At 38.2% G+C, this 21,373-nt stretch overlaps 1 protein-coding gene across 16 annotated transcripts in view, besides 1 other annotated feature; it reads right to left on the bottom strand.

Moving 5' to 3' along the window:
* RNF13 (ring finger protein 13) overlaps positions 1-21,373 on the bottom strand; it is a 149,452-nt gene that overhangs the window by 116,300 nt on the left and 11,779 nt on the right. The gene's annotated exons all lie outside the window — the stretch shown is intronic.
* Positions 14,631-14,831: a silencer, noted in NCBI's record as "peak4858 fragment used in MPRA reporter construct". NCBI's record gives its function as "represses an SCP1 promoter by STARR-seq MPRAs in K562 erythroleukemia cells {active_cell/tissue: K562}" and the evidence as "EXISTENCE:reporter gene assay evidence [ECO:0000049][PMID:32103011]".

Below are 21,373 nucleotides of genomic sequence, written 5' to 3'. Positions count from 1 at the left end.
ATTTAGGTAAACACCCATGTTTAGTCAATACCTATGTAACTCATGATGACAAAGTTCTGTTTTAATCACAAAACAAACATCCTCCCACAGTGCTCAGTTTATAGTACAGCTTGTCTTACTAACCCAAATTTCAGAGAAACTAGATTTCAACCAAAATAATGGTTAAAAACATACACACAAGCATCTTTGCTTTAAAATTGAAAATTTTCTACAACTTAAAAAATTTTTACTTCTGGTTCAATATAAATTCACATGTAAATTTACTTTTCATTTGCTATTGTATATTGTACCAACATCAGAGAATGCCAAAAAATTAACAGCCACTTATAATAAAGGAATACTTTTTGTCCATTACCTCCTAACAATCTATGCTTTTTTCCCCTCTCTACGTCTGAATGGCAACAGCATAACTACCTCTCCCAACTTCATCCTGTTCACTATGAGTCCCTTTCTCTCTTTTAGCAAAAAGATACCGTGAAAAGACTAAATGTCAACCCATAAATATAAAAATTATCATTGGTAAGCCTCAATCAATTGTATTATATACTCTTAAACAAGTGAGAACGAACATTACAAAAACAAGGGCTTTTATAATGAATTATTTCATTAAATATCCCAAACTCATGTAATATCCGTTTTGATGATGATTAGTGTGGATAAGTGCTCTAGATATAGAAGCTGCCATATAGACTCAAACTCTGAATCTCTGACTCACACACTGGAAGTAAAATACCTGTGAATAATTTTTAAGGTACCATTTACAAAGCCACTAATATCAGAGATGAAATAAAAATGAAAACATGCTAAAGTATAGATTTGTTCCTTAACGACAAAAAGTAAATTAGTGGTTGCCTAGGGATTGGCAGGGCGTGGGGGGAAAGCTTGAGGGAGGGGAAAGGTGGGAATGAGAAATGACTGCTAATGAGTAAGGGTTTTGGAGGGGAGATGGTGAAAATGTTCTAAAATTAGACTCTGGTGATGGTTGCACAACTCTATAAATATACTAAAAATCACTGCATTGTACACTTTAATTGGTTGAATTTTATAATGTGAGAATTGTATCTCAATAAAGCTTTTTTTAAATGTCTAGATTTGTTGACATTCGTTTCTTAAGTAAAATACATTTCATAACATACCATGGTACAGAAAAGAGTTAACACAGCAGGCCTGAGATTGCTATCCCTAGAAAGGTCTGCTTGCAAGGTTGGCCCCTCGCTGGCATCTGGAAATTTAGATTTCAGGACAGTTCCCACTATTTCCTAGTAAGAACAGCTCAGTGTGCCTACACTTTACAAAAAATGTGGTTTGTGCTGAATACCTGTTTTCCTTCTAGGATCTAGAATTTTGGTGCATGCTAGACAGAGAGTGTCTATATTAACAACCCCTAATATAAACCCTGGGCACTGAGTCTCTAATGAGCTTCCCTGGTAAACATTTTACATGTGTTGTCACAACTTGCTTGAGGAATTAGACGCATCCCATGTAACTCCACTGGGAAAGGACCCTTAGACGCTTACACTGATTTACTCTGGACTTTACCCCATGTGCCTTTTCTTCTCACTGATTTTGTTTTGTATCCTTTTGCTGTAATAAATCACAGCCATAAGTACAACCATGTGCTGAGTCTTGTAAATGCTCCTAGTGAATCACTGAATGTGGACAATTTCTGGTTAGAAATCATACCATAAAAGCACACAAATATTTACAAAATAAGGTATAGTTGTTATTAAATTTTAGTAGGAAGAAGAAGTATGTACCTAATTGACCAGTGACCTCTTTGGGAAACTGAATCTGAATAAAAACTATGACTTTCCATCTAAATTTCCAGCTAACTTTGGGGAAGGGAAAGGGAGACAGAGTTTGGAGGGAAAATAAAAGATTGGAATAATAACCAAAACAACTAATACTGATCTCTTACTAAGTGCCAGGCATTGCTGTAAGCATGTTATTGAGTTAACTCACTTAATCCTAACCTCCCTGTAAGGTAGGTATCATTTCACAAATGGGGAAGACTTAAGAACTGTTAAGCAACTTGCCCAAGATAAAACAACAAATAATAGCAGAGCCAGGATTCAAACCTAACAGTCAGTTTCCAAAGTCCACATTCTAAACCCCTACTGAAAACAGCATCAATATCCATCCAAGGTTGATGTTCGAAGAGTAAAGTACAGCTTCTTGCCTACACATGTATTCAAGGGCTTCAAAAGCCAATGCTCATGGATCAACAGTCACCAGTTTCCTTTTACTTCGTATATGACAGTGTATGTGTGTATATTGTGTGTATTCAATGACATGTAGCATGTTTTGAGGGTTTTTTGCATTTATTGCCTTTTTTAAATAATGTTCAGGAGTTTTGCTTTATAGTCTCTATTTACGAAACTAATTCTTGCTCATTGTGGAAAATGTGGGGAAAATGAAAATTATAAATAATCCTCAAATTAAGGAACAACTAGTGCTCATACTTTGATGTATAACTTCCTAGTCTTTTAGCAATGTATAGAGTTGTCCCTTGGTATCCATGGGGGATCAGTTCCAGGACTCCCTGCGGATACCAGAATCTGAAGATGCTTAAGTTCCTTATGTAAAATCATGTAGTATTTGTATATAATCTACACATGTCCACCCAAATACTTTAAAACATCTCTAGATTGCTTATATCTAATACAATGTAAATGCTATGTAAATAGTGGTTATGCTGTATTGTTTCAAGAATAATGACAAGAAAAATAGTCTGTACATGTTCAGTATAGTCACTTTTTTCCCCAAATATTTTCACTCTGCAGTTGATTGAATCCATGGATGTAGAACCCATGGATACGGAGGGCGAACTGCACATTCAAATACGTTTTTAGCAAAATTGGGGGCACACTGTGCATACTGTTTTACTAATTGTATTTTTTTCACTTAAGGTATTATGAATATTTTCCTAACTCTCCTCAAAAACCATTGCAGATAGCTGTCCATGAAATACTGTGGAGCGTCCCTCCCTTTCAAGCATTATTTTTTCTTAATCTATTTCACACATTGGGTTTCCATACGTAATTTGTTTATACAAAATAAAAACTACTGGTCAAAAATATGATGTATAAATGGCCATATGGCATTCCTTATGAATATTCTTTAATGGGCTGAACAGAAATTCTTACTGTTGGAATTTTTCTTTTTAGAAAAACACTGCAATAAATATTCCTTTAATTACACCTATAGGTAAACCCTTAATATTTTTTAAAGTGATAAAAGTGGCTGGCATTATAATAATTGCAGTAAAAAATATGGAATTTATACATATGGGTTTATATCCCAGCACTGTCCCATACTAATAGTGTAATTTGGAGGTAAATATTTAAACTACAAAAATTGCTTTATCTCTAAAAGAAGGACCATAGGACCTATAAGACAACTCTGTAGAATAAATACAATTATGCACAGAAGGGCTTAACATAGCAATGGAATATAGAAAGAAAGGACTTTGGATAGGGATGCCAACAGATGAAACAGGAAACATAGAAGGAAGACCACAGTGAGAAAGTAAGTACAATTTGAGAATTTCTGAACTTAGTATTTGTGGAACAGTCTGGTGGACATGTACACAGGCAACAATAAATAAAGATCTCGAGCTCCACACAAGGCAAAAAGAGACTTAGGAATCATCAGCAGATAGGAATAATTGAAGTGCTCTTAATGTAAAAGTGAAAATCAAAAAGAAAAGAGGACTAAAAAACTCTGAGGGATATCTAAGTTTCAAAGACAGGTGGAAAAAGAAAAAAGAGAGAGAGACTGATTTCACAAAAGTCAAGAGAGAAAAGAACTTTAAAATGAATGTGGGGGGAAGTAAGGCATTGGTCAACAGAAGTAAATGTTGGAGAAGGCGCAAGAGGGTCTAAAATTTTCACATTTAAGAATCTGCCCAGGCCGAGTGTAGCAGCTCACACCTGTAATCCTAACACTTTGGGAGGCCGAGGCAGGTGGATCACCTGAGGTCAGGAGTTCCAGACTAGCCTGGCCAACATGGGGAAACCCCGTCTCTACTAAAAATACAAAAATTAGCCAGGCACGGTAATTTCTGTAGCTGAGTAGCTGCAATCCCAGCTACTCAGGAGGCTGAGGCACGAGAATCACTTGAACCCGGGAGGCAGAGGTTGCAGTGAGCCGAGGTCATGCCACTGCACTCCAGCCTGAGCAACAGAGCAGGACTCTGTCTCAAAAAATAAAAATAAAAAAAAGAATCTGCTCAACCTAAACAATTTTACTTTCTCATACTCTACCACTCACCCTTGCTCTGATCAATCAGCTCACTGTTTCCAGCAATCACCTTGCTGGCATTATATCTTCATTCACATGTTACCCAGGAACTAAAATACACTCTCTTCTATCTTCAAAAGAGAATTTGGGGGAAAACTACAAATCTTATTAAATTGTATGCAAAATTTTGTGTATGTTCAACTACACAAAGTTTCTGTGAAAAAGATCCACACTTATTAACATGTTCTCAAATAAGCACATAGGTTTTTTGTTGTTGCTGCTAGGTTTTGTTTTGTTGTTTTCACTTAAATCTGCCCTTTTCCAGGAAGCCTCCTGAGGAAAAAGGTTAGCAAGCTTAAATTCTCTGATATCATCTTCTAGCACTTAATCAACTGGATTAAAATAAATGCAGGCTGTCAGCTGTATTACTAGGCAATATTATTTATGGTAAAAATGACTCCTGATTGGTGAAAAGTATTTAAACTGAAAAGACTGTAAGTTAACTAAAAAAGCTTATTACAAAAACATAAACAAAAAAAGTCTCTGATTCCCTACAGTGTCTGTTTCTTGAAAGAAAGCATGATGCTTGAGCGAAGCTGGAGCTACTCACGGACTATTAAAAGAAGTGGTTCCTTTCATATGTGACACTTTTGTATGCTGAGGTGATACACATCCATATATTTATCTCACTGGTTACAATCCAGTATACTCTTTGGTAGGTATGAAAGGTTTATCTGAATGAATGTAAGGCTTCTCAGTGAAGATGCATTTTATGTTGATATGTTGTGCTCCCAGTCTCTATCCTCCTACCTCCTACCAAGCTAGTGAACCTGGTACCAGATAATAGCCCATCAGTTATTGAGAGTGTGGATACCAATCAGAACCCCTGACCACGCAGGTGGACAGTGAGTGTGGTATCTTTCTTCCCCATTACAATTCTTACTGGCCTCTCATGCTTGAACTTATTCAACTGTTGGAGTCTCTGCATGGACCACAGTAAAGTACTGTTTGTCGAGACTCTTATCCCCCAGCAAATAGAATACATCCATCCTGAGGATATTTTAGAACCATTCTGGGAAACAGAGAAAACATAGAAAAAAATCTAGTAAAATCTTGCTGATAACAAACATCTACCCTTTATCCTTTTCCTCCTCCTTGTGCCCCTCGTCCTCCCACTCATATTACCAAAGACAGAATATAACTCTGTATTCATTTTGAGTATGCCTATAATAAAAAAAGTCACACTTCTTCAAAGGAAGAAAGTTCAAAGTAGAGAATATACAAGAAACTCTTGAGAACTACCAAAAAGGCTTCTAGAGATGTGTACACTACCACGATCTTTGATCACATCTAATTTGGCCTACCATTTGACATAATTCTACTAGTTATTAACAGACATTTTAACTGAAATCAGCTTCGTCACTCTAAAGATTTTTCCAACTGTCAAATTCTAATTTTACTTTCTGTTCAGTCTGTATTATAACACTTAAGATGTATTCTTGCGAAACTGTTTTAAACCAGTTCTAACAAGCCTTTAGCTCTCACTTCAAGTTTACAAGAATTTTCTGGAATGAAAAAAAATAAATAAGATACCACAAGATGGGTGTCTTGCTTGAGGGTAATGCCCCAATTTCTACAAAATTCAACACAATAAACAGAGACAGTACAAGAGGACAGAATGAGGAAATGGCATGAAATTGTTACACATCAAAAGAGATGAGAAACAGTAAAGACAAATGCAACATACAGTTCCATTAAACCAACAATAAAAATACATTTTCGGAATAATGGAGACAACGGAAATATGGCCCAGATATTAGATATCCTTTAAAAAAATCCTTAGCTATGATGATAGTATTATGGCTGGTATGGGTTTGGCTGCATCCCCAACCAAACCACATCTTGAATTCCCAGGTGTTGTGGGAGAAACCTCGTGGGAGGTTAATTGAATCATGGGGGCAGGTCTTTCCCATGCTATTCTCATGAGAGTGAGTAAGTCTCATGTGAACTGATGGTTTTATAAAAGGGAAGTTCTCCTGCACATGCTCTCTTGCTTGCTGCCATGTAAGACATGCCTTTGCTTCTCCTTTGCCTTCTGCCATGATTCTGAGGCCTCTCCAGCCATGTAGAGCTGTCAGTCCATTAAACCTCTTTTTCTTTATAAATTACCCAGTCTTGAGTATTTCATCATAGCAGTATGAAAATGGACTAACATAGTAAATTGGTACCAGTGGAGTGGGTACTGCTATTAAGATACCAGAAAACTTAGTTTAAAAGGGAAGTGACTTTGGAACTGGATAACAGGCAGAGGTTGGAACAGTTTGGAGGGCTCAGAAGAAGACAGGAAAATGTGGGAAAATGTGGAGCTTCCTAAAGACTTGTTGAATGGTTTTGACCAAAATGCTGATAGTCATATGGACAATGAAGTTCAGGCTGAAGTGGTCTCAGAAGGAGATGAGGAACTTATTGGGAACTGGTGAAAAGGTGATTCTTGATATGCTTTAGCAAACAGACTGGTGGCATTTTGTCCCTGCCCTAGAGATTTGTGGAACTTTTAACTTGAGAGAGATGATTTAGGGTATCTGGCGGAAGAAATTTCTAAGCAGTAAACTGTTCAAGAGGTGATTTGAGTACTCTTAAAAGCATTCAGTTTTATTCATTCACAAAAATACGGTTTGGAATTGGAACTTATGTTTAAGGGAAGCAGAGCATAAAAGTTCAGAAAACTTGCAGCCTGATGATGCAATAGAAAAGAAAAACCCATTTTCTGAGGAGACATTCAAGCCAGCTGTAGAAATTTGCTTAAGTAACGAGGAGCCAAATGTTAATTGCCAAGAAAATAGGGAAAATGTCTCCAGGGCATGTCAGAGGTTGTCATGGCAGCCTCTCCCATCACAGGCCCAGAGGCCTAGGAGGAAAAAATGGCTTGCTGGGCTGGGCCCAGGGCCTTGCTGCTTTGTGAAGTCTTGGGACTTGGTGCCCTGCATCCCAGCCGTGGCTAAACAGAGCCAAGGTACAGTTTGGGCCCTGGCTTCAGAGGATGCAAGCCCCAAGCCTTGGCAGTTTCCACGTGGTATTGAGCCTGCAGGTGCACAGAAGTCAAGAATTGAGGCTTGGGAACCTCTGCCTGGATTACAGAATCTGTATGGAAATGCCTGGATCCCCAGTCAAAAGTTTGCTGCAGGGGCAGAGCCCTCATGGAGAACCTTTGCTAGGGCAGTGTGGAAGAGAAATATGGGGTTGGAGCCCCCACACAGAGTCCCTACTGAGGCACCACCTGGTGGAGCTGTGAGAAGAGGACCACTGTCCACCAGACGCCAGAATAGTAGATCCACCAACAACTTGCACCGTGCACCTGGAAAAGCCGTAGACACTCAACGCCAGCCCATGAAAGCAGCCAAGAGGAAGGCTGTACACTGTAAAGCCACCAGGGAGGAGCTGCCCAAGACCATAGGAACCTACCTCTTGCATCAGCGTGACCTGGATGTGAGACAAGGAGTCAAAGGAGATCATTTTGGAGCTTTAAGATTTGACTGCCCCGCTGGATTTTGGACTTGCATGGGGCCTGTAGCCCTTTTGATTTGGCCAATTTCTCCCACTTGGAACAGCTGTATTTACACAATGCCTGTACCCCCATTGTATCTAGGAAGTGACTGATTGGCTTTTGATTTTACAGGCACATAGGCAGAAGGAACTTGCCTTGTCTCAGATGAGACATTGGAATGTGGACTTTTGAGTTAATGCTGAAATGAATTAAGACTTTGGGGGACTTTTGGAAGGCATGATTGGTTTTGAAATATGAGGACATGAGATTTGGGAGGGGCCAGGGCAGAATGACATGGTTTGGCTGTGTCCTCACCCAAATCTCATCTTGAATTCCCATGTGTTGTGGGAGGGACCCGGCAGGAGGTAATTCAATCATGGAGGCAGGTCTTCCCCATGTTATTCTCGTGATAATGAATAAGTCTCATGAGATCTGATGGATTTATAAAGGAGAGTTGCCCTGCACAAGCTCTCTTCTCTTGTCTGCCACCATGTGAGACGTGCCTTTCACCCTCTGCCATGATTGTGAGGCCTCTCCAGTGATGTGGAACTGTAAGTCCATTAAACCTCTTTCTTTTGAAAATTGCCCAGTCTCAGGTGTCTTTATCAGCAGTGTGAAAAAGGACTAATACAATAGCTGTATGAAAAAGTCCTTATTTGGGGAGCTATCTATTATAGTAAAGTACTTAGGAAAGAAATGTCATGATATCTGTCATTTAAAGCACTTCAGAAAAAAACACACTATAAATCTAGGTGAAGATTACATTGAGATTCATTACACTATTTCTCTGCTTTTCTATATGTTTGAGAATTTATATAATAAAAAGTTTACTAAATGCATGAAAAATTATTTTAACTCTTCAGTGATCTTTTCAGAAGGCCTTCAGCCTCTTTTCTTAATGTGGCATACAGACATAAAATTTACCATATAAAAAATTTTAAAGTATACAGTTCAGTAACATTAACTATATTCACATTGTTGTGCAAATATTACCACAATCCATCCCTAGAATTTTCTCATCTTCCCAAACTGAAACCTGGTACACATTAATTACCCATGCCCCATCCCCTGGCCATTGGCAAGCACAATTTTATTTTCTGTTTCTATAAATTCAACTACTCTAACTACCTAATATAAGTGGAATCATACAATATTTGTCCTTTTGTGACTAGCTTATTTCACTTAGCATGATATCTTGAAGTGTTGTACCACATGTGAAAATTTCCTTCCTTAGCAGGCTGAGTAATATTCCATTATATGTACATACCCCATGTTACTGATCCATTCATCTCTCAATTGACACTTGGGTTGCTTAGATCTTTTAGCTATTGTGAAAAAAATAACTGAGTTCCTGCTTTAAATTATTTGTGGCATATACCCAGAAGTATTGCTGGATCATATGGTAATTCTACGTTTGATTTTTTTTTTTTAAAGAACTGCCATACCATTTTCCAAAGTGGCTGCACCATTTTACTTTCCCACAAATAATGCACAAACAGTTACTATTTCTTCACATCCTTGCCAACATTTGCTATTTTATGTTGTTTTCCTTCAAGACCAGAATGAGATACCACTTTAAATCTATTTTATGATAGACATATATATACAATATATATATATACATATAGCCATACTAAAATACATGTAAAGTGGTATCTCATTGTGGTCTTGACTTGCACTTCCCCAATGATTAGTGATGTTGAGCATCTTTTCATGTACTTTTTGGCCATTTGTATGTCTTCTTTGGAAAAATGTCTATTCAGCTCCTATGTTCATTTTTTAATTGGGTTGCTTGGTTTTTTGCCACTGAGTTAACAATCCCATCAAAAAGTGGGCTAAGGACATGAATAGGCAATTCTCAAAAGAAGATACACAAATAGCCAACAAACAAAATAAGAAATGCTCAACATCACTAGTGATCAGAGAAATGCAAATCAAAACCACTATGCAATACCACCTTACTCCTGCAAGAATGGCCATTATCAAAAAAATTTTAAAAAATGGAGGTTGGCATGGATGTGGTGAAAGGGAACACTTCTACACTGCTGGCAGGAATGTAAACTAGTACAACCACTATGGAAAACAATGTGGAGATTCCTTAAAGAACCAAAAGTAGAACTACCATTTGATCCAGCAATCCCAGTACTGGGAATCCAGCAATCCCAGTACTGGGAATCCAGCAATCCCAGTACTGGGGATCCAGCAATCCCACTACTGGGGATCCAGCAATCCCAACCCAGGAGAAAAGTCATAAAAAAAAGATATTTGCACACACGTTTATAACAACACAATTCACAATTGCAAAAATATGGAACCAGCCCAAATGCCCATCAATCAACTACTGGATAAAGAAATTGTGGTACACACATACACACACACACACACAAACACACACACACACACACACACACACACACACAATGGAATACTACGCAGCCATAAAAATGAATTAATTAATGGCATTTGCAGCAACCTAGATAGAACTGGAAACTATTATTCCTAGTGAAGTAACTCAGGAATGGAAAACCAAACATCGTATGTTCTCACTCGTTAGTGGGAGCTAAGCTACGAGAATGCAACGGTATAAGAATGATACAATGGACTTTAGGGACTCAGGGGAAAGGGTAGGAGGGGGTGAAGGTGTATACTGCTCAGGTGATGGATGCACCAAAATCTCACAAATCACCACTAAAGAACTTACTCATGTAACCAAATACCACCTGTTCCCCAAAAACCTATGGAAATAAAAAAATTTTTTAAATTCTCTATATATTCTAGACAGCAATTCCTTATAAAATATATGATTGAAAAGTATTTTCTCTCATTTTTTTCACCCTGTTGGTACTGTCCTTCAATGCACAAGAAGTTTTAATTTTCATGAAGTCAAACATCTATTTTTTTCTTTTCTTGCCTGTGCTTTTGGTGTCCTGCCCAAGAAATTATTGACAATTCCAATGTTGTGAAGCTTTCTTTATGTTTTCCTCTAAGAGTTTTACATAGTAGCTCTTATGTTTAGATCTCTGATCAATTTTGAGTTAACTGTTGCATATGGTATAAGGTAAAGGTCAAATTCATTCTTTTACATACAGATATTCAGTTTTCCCAACACACCATTTGTAGAAGAGACTGTGTACAATGCCTTTCTCTATCAAATGATCTTGACACCTTAGTCCATTTGTGTCGCTATAAAGGAATATCTGAAGCTGGGTAATTTATAAAGAAAAGAGGTTTATTTGGCCCACAGTTCTGTAAGCTGTACAAGAAGGATGGTACCAACATCTATATCTGGTGAGGACCTCAAGCTGCTTCCATTCATGGCAGAAGGCAAAAGGGAGCCCATCACACAGCAAGAGCAGCAAGTGAGAGAGAGGGAAGAAAGTGCCAAGTTCTTTTCAATCACCAGTTCTCAAAAGAACTAAGAGTGAAATTTCAGTCATTCCCATGAGAACGGCATCAAGCCATTCATGAGGGATCTACCCCCATAATCCAAATAGCTCCCATCAGACCCTACCTCCAATACTGGGGATCAAATATCAATATGAGACTTGGTGGGGCCAGACAAACCATTTCCAAACCATAGGAGGACTTCTGTCAAAAGTTATTTGAGCATGTATGTGAGGCTTTATTCCTGAGCTCTTTATTCTATTCCATTGCTCTATATGTCTATCTTTACACCAGTACCACACTATTTTAATTACTGGAATTTTGTAGTTAAGTTTTGAAATCAGGAAGTATACGACCTACAACTTTGTTTTGGCTATTTGGGGTCCCTTGAGATTCCATATATGGTTTAGGATAGATTTTCCTATTTCTGCAAGAAGGTTATTGCGATTTTGATAATATTACATTGAATCCATAGATTTCTTTGGGTAGTACTGACATCTTAACAGTATTAAGTCTATCAATCCATAAACATGGAATGTCTATTCATTTATTTATGTCCTCTTTATTTCAGCAAAGTCTTACAATTTTCAGTGTACAATTCTTCCACCTCCTTGGTTTAATTTATTACTATTTTATTTTTGTTGATATTGTAAATGGAATTGTTTTCTTAATTTCCTTTTTGGATAGTTCGCTGTTACTTTATAGGAATGCAACTGATTTTTGTGTGTGATTTTGTATCCTGCAACTTTGCTGAATTCATTTATTATTAATAGTTCTATCAGATATTTTTTCTTTTGTGGAATCTTAGATTGCCTACATGTAAGGTCATATCATCTGCTTACAATGGTAATCTTACTTATTCCTTTCTAATTTTGATGCCTTTCATTTCTCTTTCTTGCCTAATTGCTCTGGCTAGGACTTCTGGTGCCAAGATAAATAGAAATGGCAAAGGCAGGAATCCTTGTCTTGTTCCTGATCTTAGAGGAAAAGCTTTCAGTCTTTTATGACCAATTATATTAGTTGTCGGTTTTTTACACATGGCCTTTATTCTGAGGTAGTCTCCTTCTATTTTCAGTTTGTTGGGTGTTTTATCATGAAAGAGTGTTAAATTCTGTGAAATGCTTTTTCTGCATCTATTGAAGTGATTATGTGTTTTTATTCTCTTAATGTGGTACATTACATTGACTATAACACTTTTCACATGTAGAACCATCCTTGCATTCCAAGAATAAGTCCAACTTGGTCATGTGTATAATGCTTTTAACGTGCTGCTGAATTCAGTTTGCTAGCATTTTGTTGAGGATTTTTACATCAGCAGTCATAAGAGATAATGGCCTGCCTGGCCAAAATGGTGAAACCCTGCCTCTACTAAAAATACAAAAATTAGCTGGGTGTGGTGACAGGCACCTGTAATCCCAGCTACTCGGGAGGCTGAGGCAGGAGAATCTCTTAAACCTGGGAGGCAGAGGTTGCAGTGAGCCAAGATCACACCATTGCACTCCAGCCTAGGCAACAGAGTGAGGCTCCATCTCAAAAAAAAAAAAAAAAAAAGAGAGAGAGAGAGAACGATAAGTTATGTAGTTTTCTTTTCTTTCTTTTTTTAGTATCCTTGTCTGACTTTGGTACCAGGGTAATTTTGGCCCCTTAGAATAAGTTAGGAGGTGTTCCCTCTTTATCAGTTTTTTGGGAAGAGTTTGAGAAAAATTGATGTTGATTCTTCCTTAAATATTTGGTAGAATTCACCAATGAAGCCATCTGATCCCAGGCTTTTCTTTCTTGGAATGTTTTTGATTATTGCTTCAATCTCCCATAGGTCTGTGCAAGCTTTCTATTTTTTCATGATTCAGTGTTGGGAGGTTGTGTCTTTCCAGGTATTCATCCATTTCATCTAGGTTATCCAATTTCTTGGCATAAAATTGTTTATAGTACTTTTACAATCCTTTTTATTTCTATAAAATTGGTAGTTGTGTCCCCTCTTTCATTTCTGATTTTAGTTGAGTCTCCTCTCTTGTTTTCTTTAGTCACTATAATGAAAGATTTGTTAATTTCATAGATTTTTTTTAAAAACCAATTGTTGGTTTGGCTGAGTTTTCTCTTGGCCTCATTTTTGAGAAAATGAGCAAACTGGCTGGTACACATGATTATCTGTATGGTTTTGGAGGATAAATGACAGTTACTTGTCTAATGCTGGTCACTGAAAAATTTGAAAATTTCCCAAGCATCACAGTAAATCCTAACTTCACATTTAAATCTGTGACAATGAATTTTTAAGACCAGTATTACTTTCAGGAAATTCACTTCCAAATAAATTTTAATTCTGAAGATGAGTCAACAGTGTGATACCAACTGCTTCACTGCCAAATAACACTCATGAAACAGCCAGCCATCTCCATAAGAAATCCACCAAGTAAGCTCAGATTCCACTGGTTCTGAAGCTACATTCTTGACCTTCACTGGCATCTCAAGAACTGGACCAAAATATTCCACTACTAAAAGAATTGTTATCTTTTCCTAATTTGCGAACAGAATAGGCAGAGTAATTTCAATTTGTTTTTTTCAAGAAATGTACCTTATACTACAATAAGCATCAGAAGAATATATACTGTACCAAGCACTAACAGAAAAAAATCAGCGAACAATTAATTAACTATTTTAGTGGAAAATTTATAATAGCCAGTCACACATCATTTAATAGGTTATTTTTCCTACAAATGTGATTATGGTCACATATGTTTATAACATATATATGGCACTATAAAATTTCCTCCAAAATAGTGTTCTCAGCTCACACACCACCTAAATATATCAATAACTTCCTAGTGTTCCTTAAAAAGCATCAAGATTTCCAGGAATTCTGGCAACTAGAATTTCTAACACATACTGTATTAGTCCATTTTCATACTGCTATGAAGAAATACCTGCCCCTGGACCCTCCCAAATCTCATGTCCTCATATTTCAAAACCAATCATGCCTTCCCAACAGTCCCCCAAAGTCTTAATTCATTTCAGCATTAACTCAAAAGTCCACATCCAAAGTCTCATCTGAAACAAGGTAAGTCCGTTCCGCCTATGAGCCTGTAAAATCAAAAGCAAGTTAATTATTTCCTAGATACAATGAGGGGACAGGCATTGGTCAAATACACCCATTCCAAACGGGAGAAACTGGCAGAAACAAGGGGGGTACAGAGTCCATGCAGACTGAAATTTTACAGCAGAGCAATCAAATCTTAATGCTCCAAAATGATCTCCTTTGACTCCATGTCTCATATCCAGCTCATGCTGAGGAAGAGGTGGGCTCCCGCAGACTTGGGCAGTTCTGCTCCTGTAGCTTTGCAGGGTACAGCTCCCTTCCTGGTTGCTTTCATGGGCTGGCATTGAGAGTGTAAAGCTTTTCCAGGCATGTGGTGCAAGCCATTGGTGGATCTACCATTCTGGAGTCTGGAGAACAGTGGCCTGCTTCTCACAGCTCCACTAGGCAGTCCCCAGTAGGGACTCTGTGTGGGGGCTCCAACACTGTATTTCCCTTCCACACTGCCCTAGCAAAGGTTCTCCCTGAGGGCTTCACCCCCGCAGCAAACTTCTGTCTGGACATCCAGGCATTTCCATACATTCTCTGAATTCTAAATGAAGATTCCCAAACCTCAGTTCTGGACTTCTGTGCACCTTGCAGCTCAACACCACGTGGAAGCTGTCAATGCTTGGGGTTTGCACCCTCTGAAGCCAGGACCCAAACTGTACCTTGGTCCCTTTTAGCCACAGCTAGGACCCAGGACACCAAGTCCCAAGACTTCACAAAGCAGCAAGGCCCTGGGCCCAGCCCAGCAAGCCATTTTTTCCTCCTAGGCCTCTGGGCGTGTGATAGGAGGGGCTGCCATGAAGACCTCTGACATGCCCTGGAGACATTTTCCCTATTTTCTTGGCAATTAACATTTGGCTCCTCGTTACTTAAGCAAATTTCTACAGCTGGCTTGAATGTCTCCTCAGAAAATGGGTTTTTCTTTTCTATTGCATCATCAGGCTGCAAGTTTTCTGAACTTTTATGCTCTGCTTCCCTTAAACATAAGTTCCAATTCCAAACCGTATTTTTGTGAATGAATAAAACTGAATGCTTTTAAGAGTACTCAAATCACCTCTTGAACAGTTTACTGCTTAGAAATTTCTTCCGCCAGATACCCTAAATCATCTCTCTCAAGTTAAAAGTTCCACAAATCTCTAGGGCAGGGACAAAATGCCACCAGTCTGTTTGCTAAAGCATATCAAGAATCACCTTTTCACCAGTTCCCAATAAGTTCCTCATCTCCTTCTGAGACCACTTCAGCCTGAACTTCATTGTCCATATGACTATCAGCATTTTGGTCAAAACCATTCAACAAGTCTTTAGGAAGCTCCACATTTTCCCACATTTTCCTGTCTTCTTCTGAGCCCTCCAAACTGTTCCAACCTCTGCCTGTTATCCAGTTCCAAAGTCACTTCCCTTTTAAACTAAGTTTTCTGGTATCTTAATAGCAGTACCCACTCCACTGGTACCAATTTACTATGTTAGTCCATTTTCATACTGCTATGATGAAATACTCAAGACTGGGTAATTTATAAAGAAAAAGAGGTTTAATGGACTGACAGCTCTACATGGCTGGAGAGGCCTCAGAATCATGGCAGAAGGCAAAGGAGAAGCAAAGGCATGTCTTACATGGCAGCAAGCAAGAGAGCATGTGCAGGAGAACTTCCCTTTTATAAAACCATCAGTTCACATGAGACTTACTCACTATCACGAGAACAGCACAGAAAAAACCACCCCCATGATTCAATTACCTCCCACCACGTCCCTCCCACAACACATGGGGTTTATAGGAGCTATAATTCGAAATGTGATTTGGGTGGGAACACAGCCAAACCATATCACATACTATATTTAAATCTCCATAGTTTTTTAACGCTTTTAAAAACACTGGATCAGAAGTTGTCATAAGCAAAAGTGTTACATCAGAAACCAAAACAAAACAAAAACAACAATAATAGGGCTTCTCTTTTTAAGCAAAAATAAGATGTCCAATATTTTTTGCAAGAAAGCAGAAGTTTGCCCAGCAAATTCCTCTAACATAAAGCCTTCCAAAGTAAAAGCAAGCATAATCTAAGATTTTTAACTACCACAATCAACCAAAGCAAAATTTTTTCACCTATGCAATAAATGTTTTACAATTTTATTTTTCAACAAATGAAACAAAATGATCAATTTTTTACTTTTAATAGATTAAGAAAAAACAGGTTTTTCTGGCCGGGCGCAGTGGCTCACACCTGTAATCCCAACACTTTGGGAGGCCGAGGCAGGAGGATCGCCCGAGGTCAGGAGTTCGAGACCAGCCTGGCCAACATGATAAAACTCTGTCTCTACTAAAAATACAAAAATTAGCTGAGCCTGGTGGCTCACGTCTGTAATCCCAGCTACTTGGGAGGCTGAGGCAGGAGAATCGCTTGAACCTGGGAGGAAGAGGTTGCAGTGAGCCAAGATAGCCACTGCACACCAGCCTGGGTGGCAAAGCAAGACTCCATCTCAAAAAGAAATAGGTTTTTCCAAAATATCAAATTCTTTCCAATCTCAGGGCCTTCATACCAATTGTTCTCAATCCCAAAGTTATAGTTTCTCACTCAGTATATATGAGATGTGATCCGGTCATCTATACTATTCACAGTATTAACATGTACTCCAGGTGATTCTTATAAATGGAAAATACATTTTTAGTTCAGTATATCACAAATCTCTCAGCGCCTGTGACAAAAATAAATGTTCCCAGGCCCCTCCCCTTGAGATGCAGACAGAAAACCTATAATTTGACTTTTAAAAAAGTTCCCTATTGAATCCATATAATTAAGTCAAATTTGGAAAGCACTGTTTTGAACCAAAGATTGGTAAGTGGCGTACCAAGTCATTATTCATAAACTTCTTGCAAGTCAATAGGCAGTGGGTAGAGGGTCAAACTAGAGAAGAAAAAAAAAGAGAGAGAGAGAGTGATAGGAGTGCTAAGAAAAACAGACTTCATAATTCTTTCAAATACCACTGTTGTCACCAGTACCATAGGCTGCCAACCCTAGCAATAAGCCACACAGCAAACAAGAAAAAGACAATTGACAATGAAATTGCTTTCATGAATAGCAGAATATTAAACACTAGGGAAAGATGGTAGAAAATTCTGGTTTTCTTGATTATCAAAATATCAAATATCATGCACAGTGTACTTGAAGGTATTAATGTCATCTATCTCCCAAACCAGAATGTTTTATTTTCATGATTCCTCACATAAATGTCACCATCACTGTAGCCAACATTGATAGAAAACTTAATTTTGTGCTAGGCACTGTGTTAAGCATCTGACATGAATGTTTTTCCTTCTAATCATCAAAACAACATTGTAAAATAAAACAAAAACAACACAGGAAAATAGTAACTTGCACTGTCATTCCATTTTCCCTATTTTAGGGGATTCAATTTCTATGTTTAAGTGCTAGAGTCTAACTGACTGACTAAATGAACCAGTTCCCTCATCCTAATTACTCCTTTAATTTTTGCAATTTCTGAACAAAAAGCTGAGAAGTCCAATGACTCGCACTTAGTTCAGGTGTTAAACATGAAACTTAACATGGCTTACCATGTTAATGGTGGAGCACCAGATCAAGTTACAGCATTCCCATTGATTATAACAACTGTTTCTTTAAAAAAAAAAAAAAAATAGAGAGATAGGGTCTTGCCTTGCTGCCCAGGCTGGTCTTGAACTCTTGGCCTCAAGCGATCCTCCCACCTTGGCCTCCCAAAATGCTAGGATAACAGGCATGAGCCACCACACTCAGCCTATAACAACTGTTTATTTAAAACATCACCCACAGCCCTGTTCTTGGTCTTTTCTGGACACCACACTCTCCCTTGACAAGTGTTTGCAGCCTGCCTATGCACCTATCATGCCTCACTCTTCTTATAATCATCTTTCCTTTTTTTATTATAATATGACTTTCTATCACACTATAATACTTGTTATGTTTATTGTTTAGTGTTCAGCTTTGCCACAAAAACATATGCTCCTCAAAGACAGGAATCTTTATTTTATGGATGTATCACAAGTACCTAAAGAGTGCCTATAATGTATTAGGTGTTTAATATTAATATTTATAGACTGAATGCCTACATAGCCTCTCTTGATATCTTCTGCAGAGCCTCTATGCTCAAAAAAAAAATTTAAGACCGTAACATTAAAAATGTTAAAAGTTTATATATAGTTTATATATACAGTCATCCTCGGTGTCTGTGAGAGACTGGTGCCAGGACTGCCCGCTCATACTAAAATCTATGGATGGTCAAGTTCCTTACCACAGATGGTATACTATTTGCATATAACCTACGCACCTCCTTCTATATACTTTAAATCATCTCTAGATTAGTTATAATACTGAATACAGTGTAAATGCTATGTAAATAGTTGTTATACCATATTGTTTAACATGTTTAGTACAGATGCAACCATCCATTTTTTTTCCTGAATATTTTGAATACTGGTTGAATCCACAGATACAGAGCCATGGATACAGAGGGCCAACTGTACGTTAATATTTAAAAATATATAAATATGGCTAGGCATGGTGGCTAATGCCTGTAATCCCAGCACTCTGGGAAGCTAAGGTAGGTGGACTGCTTGAGCCCAGGAGTTCAAGACCACCCTGGCCAAGATGGCAAAACTCTGTCTCTACATAAAAATACAAAAATTAGCTAGGCATAGTGGCATGCACAAGTAGTCCCAGCTACTCAGGAGGCTGAGGCATGAGGATCGTTTGAGCCCAGGAAGCAGAAGTTGCAGTGAGACAAGATTGCACCTCTGCACTCCAGCCTGGGTGACAGAGCAAGACCCTATCTCAAAACGAAACATAAATACTATGAAATAATAAATTAATTTGCTGAATCATGTAAGCTCTGGATGGTGGGACTCTGCGGTTTTTATTCTTCTTTATATTTATCTGCATGTTTCATAATAAAAAACTAAAACTCCCTAGACTATTTCATTTTGCATAATATATACAGGAGACTAGAAGAAAATACACGAAAATATTAAGAGAAATCTGTTCTACTTGCTCAAGTTTTCTAAGTGTGCATTACTTTTACACAGCAAAATATTTCTTAAATGAGCAAGCAACAAGTCTTTTAATTCACAAGTTTATTCATAATTTGGAGGAGATGAAATGATTTGAAGTAAAATATATGATCAAAAAAGAGAAAGGGCAGATCTTGAGCAGAGTTAACAAATCTGAGCAGTCATTTTCTGTCTGTAAGCCTTTAATTATACTCAAAAGACTCTATCCTACACTATAGTCCTTACAGTTATTATTGCCATAAAGGTCAAATGTAGCAGCCACTTGGGCTCTGAGGCATCTGCATTCATTAGCAACACATTATAATCAACCACAGGTGATAGCTTAATTAATTGTGATGCCATGGATTACCAGCATTCCATTTCCCTCTGACAAGGAGCTCAGCACTGCGCTCAGGCCCAAAGGCATAACCACCCAAATGCCAAAATCTCAGAATTTCAGATCTATCTGCTGGAGCCACTCCAGACACCAATTGTGTACCAGTAGAGATTCAAACAGGAGAAACTATTCAGTAAGTTAAACAAAAGGTATTCAATATAAATGATTATTAAGCTATGATAGGACAGTAAATATAAAGATACAAAGAGGGGTAGGGAGGGGCAGGAGAGAGGGATTCCAAAAGGGCATCAGGAAACTTCTAAGAGTGATGAATATGTTCATTAACTTCATTATATAGGTGGTTTCATGATTATATAAATATATCAGAACTTATCAAAGTATACACTTTTATGTAGTTTATTGTATGTGAATTATAAGTCAGTAAAGCTGTTTTCAATTTTTTAGAGAAAAGGAATTATTAAACTATAAGAGAGTAACACTGAGGGAGACATTACAAAGGGACAAACTTGGAAGAGAGCCTGAGGCTGAAATTCAGTTTTCACTGGAGCAGGTGTGGTTGCAGCACACCAGGTAACAGAGAATCTCACTGGGTTGACCAGACCAGAGCTGGTCCAAGGTTGCCCGGTAAACAATAAACAGCCCACTGGGGTGCTGATGGGTAGGTGTGCAGAGGCAGTCAGGGCACAGCTGCAGGCACCAGGCCTGGAATGTACAACATCTGCATCAAGAGGGTTGCTGGAGGCGGGGCATGGTGGCTCATACCTGTAATCCCAACACTCCGGGAGGCCGAGGCAGGCGGATCACCTGAGGTCAGGAGTTTGAGACCAGCCTGGACAACATGGTGAAACCCTGTCTCTACTAAAAATACAAAAATTAGCCAGGCGTGGTGGTGCCTGTAATCCCGGCTACTTAGGAGGCTGAATCACTTGAGCCCAGGAGGCAGAGGTTACAGTGAGCAGAGAATGTGCCACTGCACTCCAGCCTGGGCAACAGAGCAAGACTAAGCCTTAAAAAAAAAAAAGGGTTGCTGGAGCCTGGGCAACATAGCTAGACTCTGTCTCTACAAAAAATACAAAAATTAGCCAGGTGTGGTGGCATGCACCTATAGTCCCAGCTACTGAGAAGGCTAAGGCAGAAGGATTGCTTGAGCCCAGGATTTGAGGCTGCAGTGAGCTATGATCGCCAGTGCACTCCAGCCTGAGCAACACGGAAAGACTTTGTATCTTAAAAAAAAAAAAAAAATCAGGAAAAATAACTAACAGGTACTAGGCTTAATACGTGGGTGATGAAATAATCTAGTCAGCAAACTCCCATGACACAAGTTTACCTATATAACAAACCTGCACATGTACTCCTGAACTTAAAATAAGTTAAATTAAAAAAAAAAAAAAGAGGATGACCTCTGACCTAGTTCTTTTGGAGCTTTTTGATACAGACATACTTACAAATGGACATTAACTAGACATAATCATATAATCCTGTATGTGTTTATCAATCTACCTAACTATATTTGTGTGTATATCTTTAAAAAAAAAAAGCCCCAAAGGAAAACTAGGACAGAGGTCATTTCCTTTCACAAAAAAAAACCATATATTTTTTCTAGTCTAGGATATTATTCATGTATGTTTTTAAATGAAAATGTTTTACATTATACAACAATTTGATTGTTATACTTATCAGCTTCTAGAGGCTGCCAACATCCTTGGCTTGTAGCCTCTTCTTCCATCTTCAAAGCCA

This window comes from Homo sapiens, chromosome 3 (genome assembly GCF_000001405.40).
Source record: "Homo sapiens chromosome 3, GRCh38.p14 Primary Assembly".
NCBI lineage: Eukaryota > Metazoa > Chordata > Mammalia > Primates > Hominidae > Homo > Homo sapiens.
The sequence above is the reverse complement of the archived record's forward strand: the minus strand, read 5'-3'. Positions and strand labels throughout refer to the sequence as shown.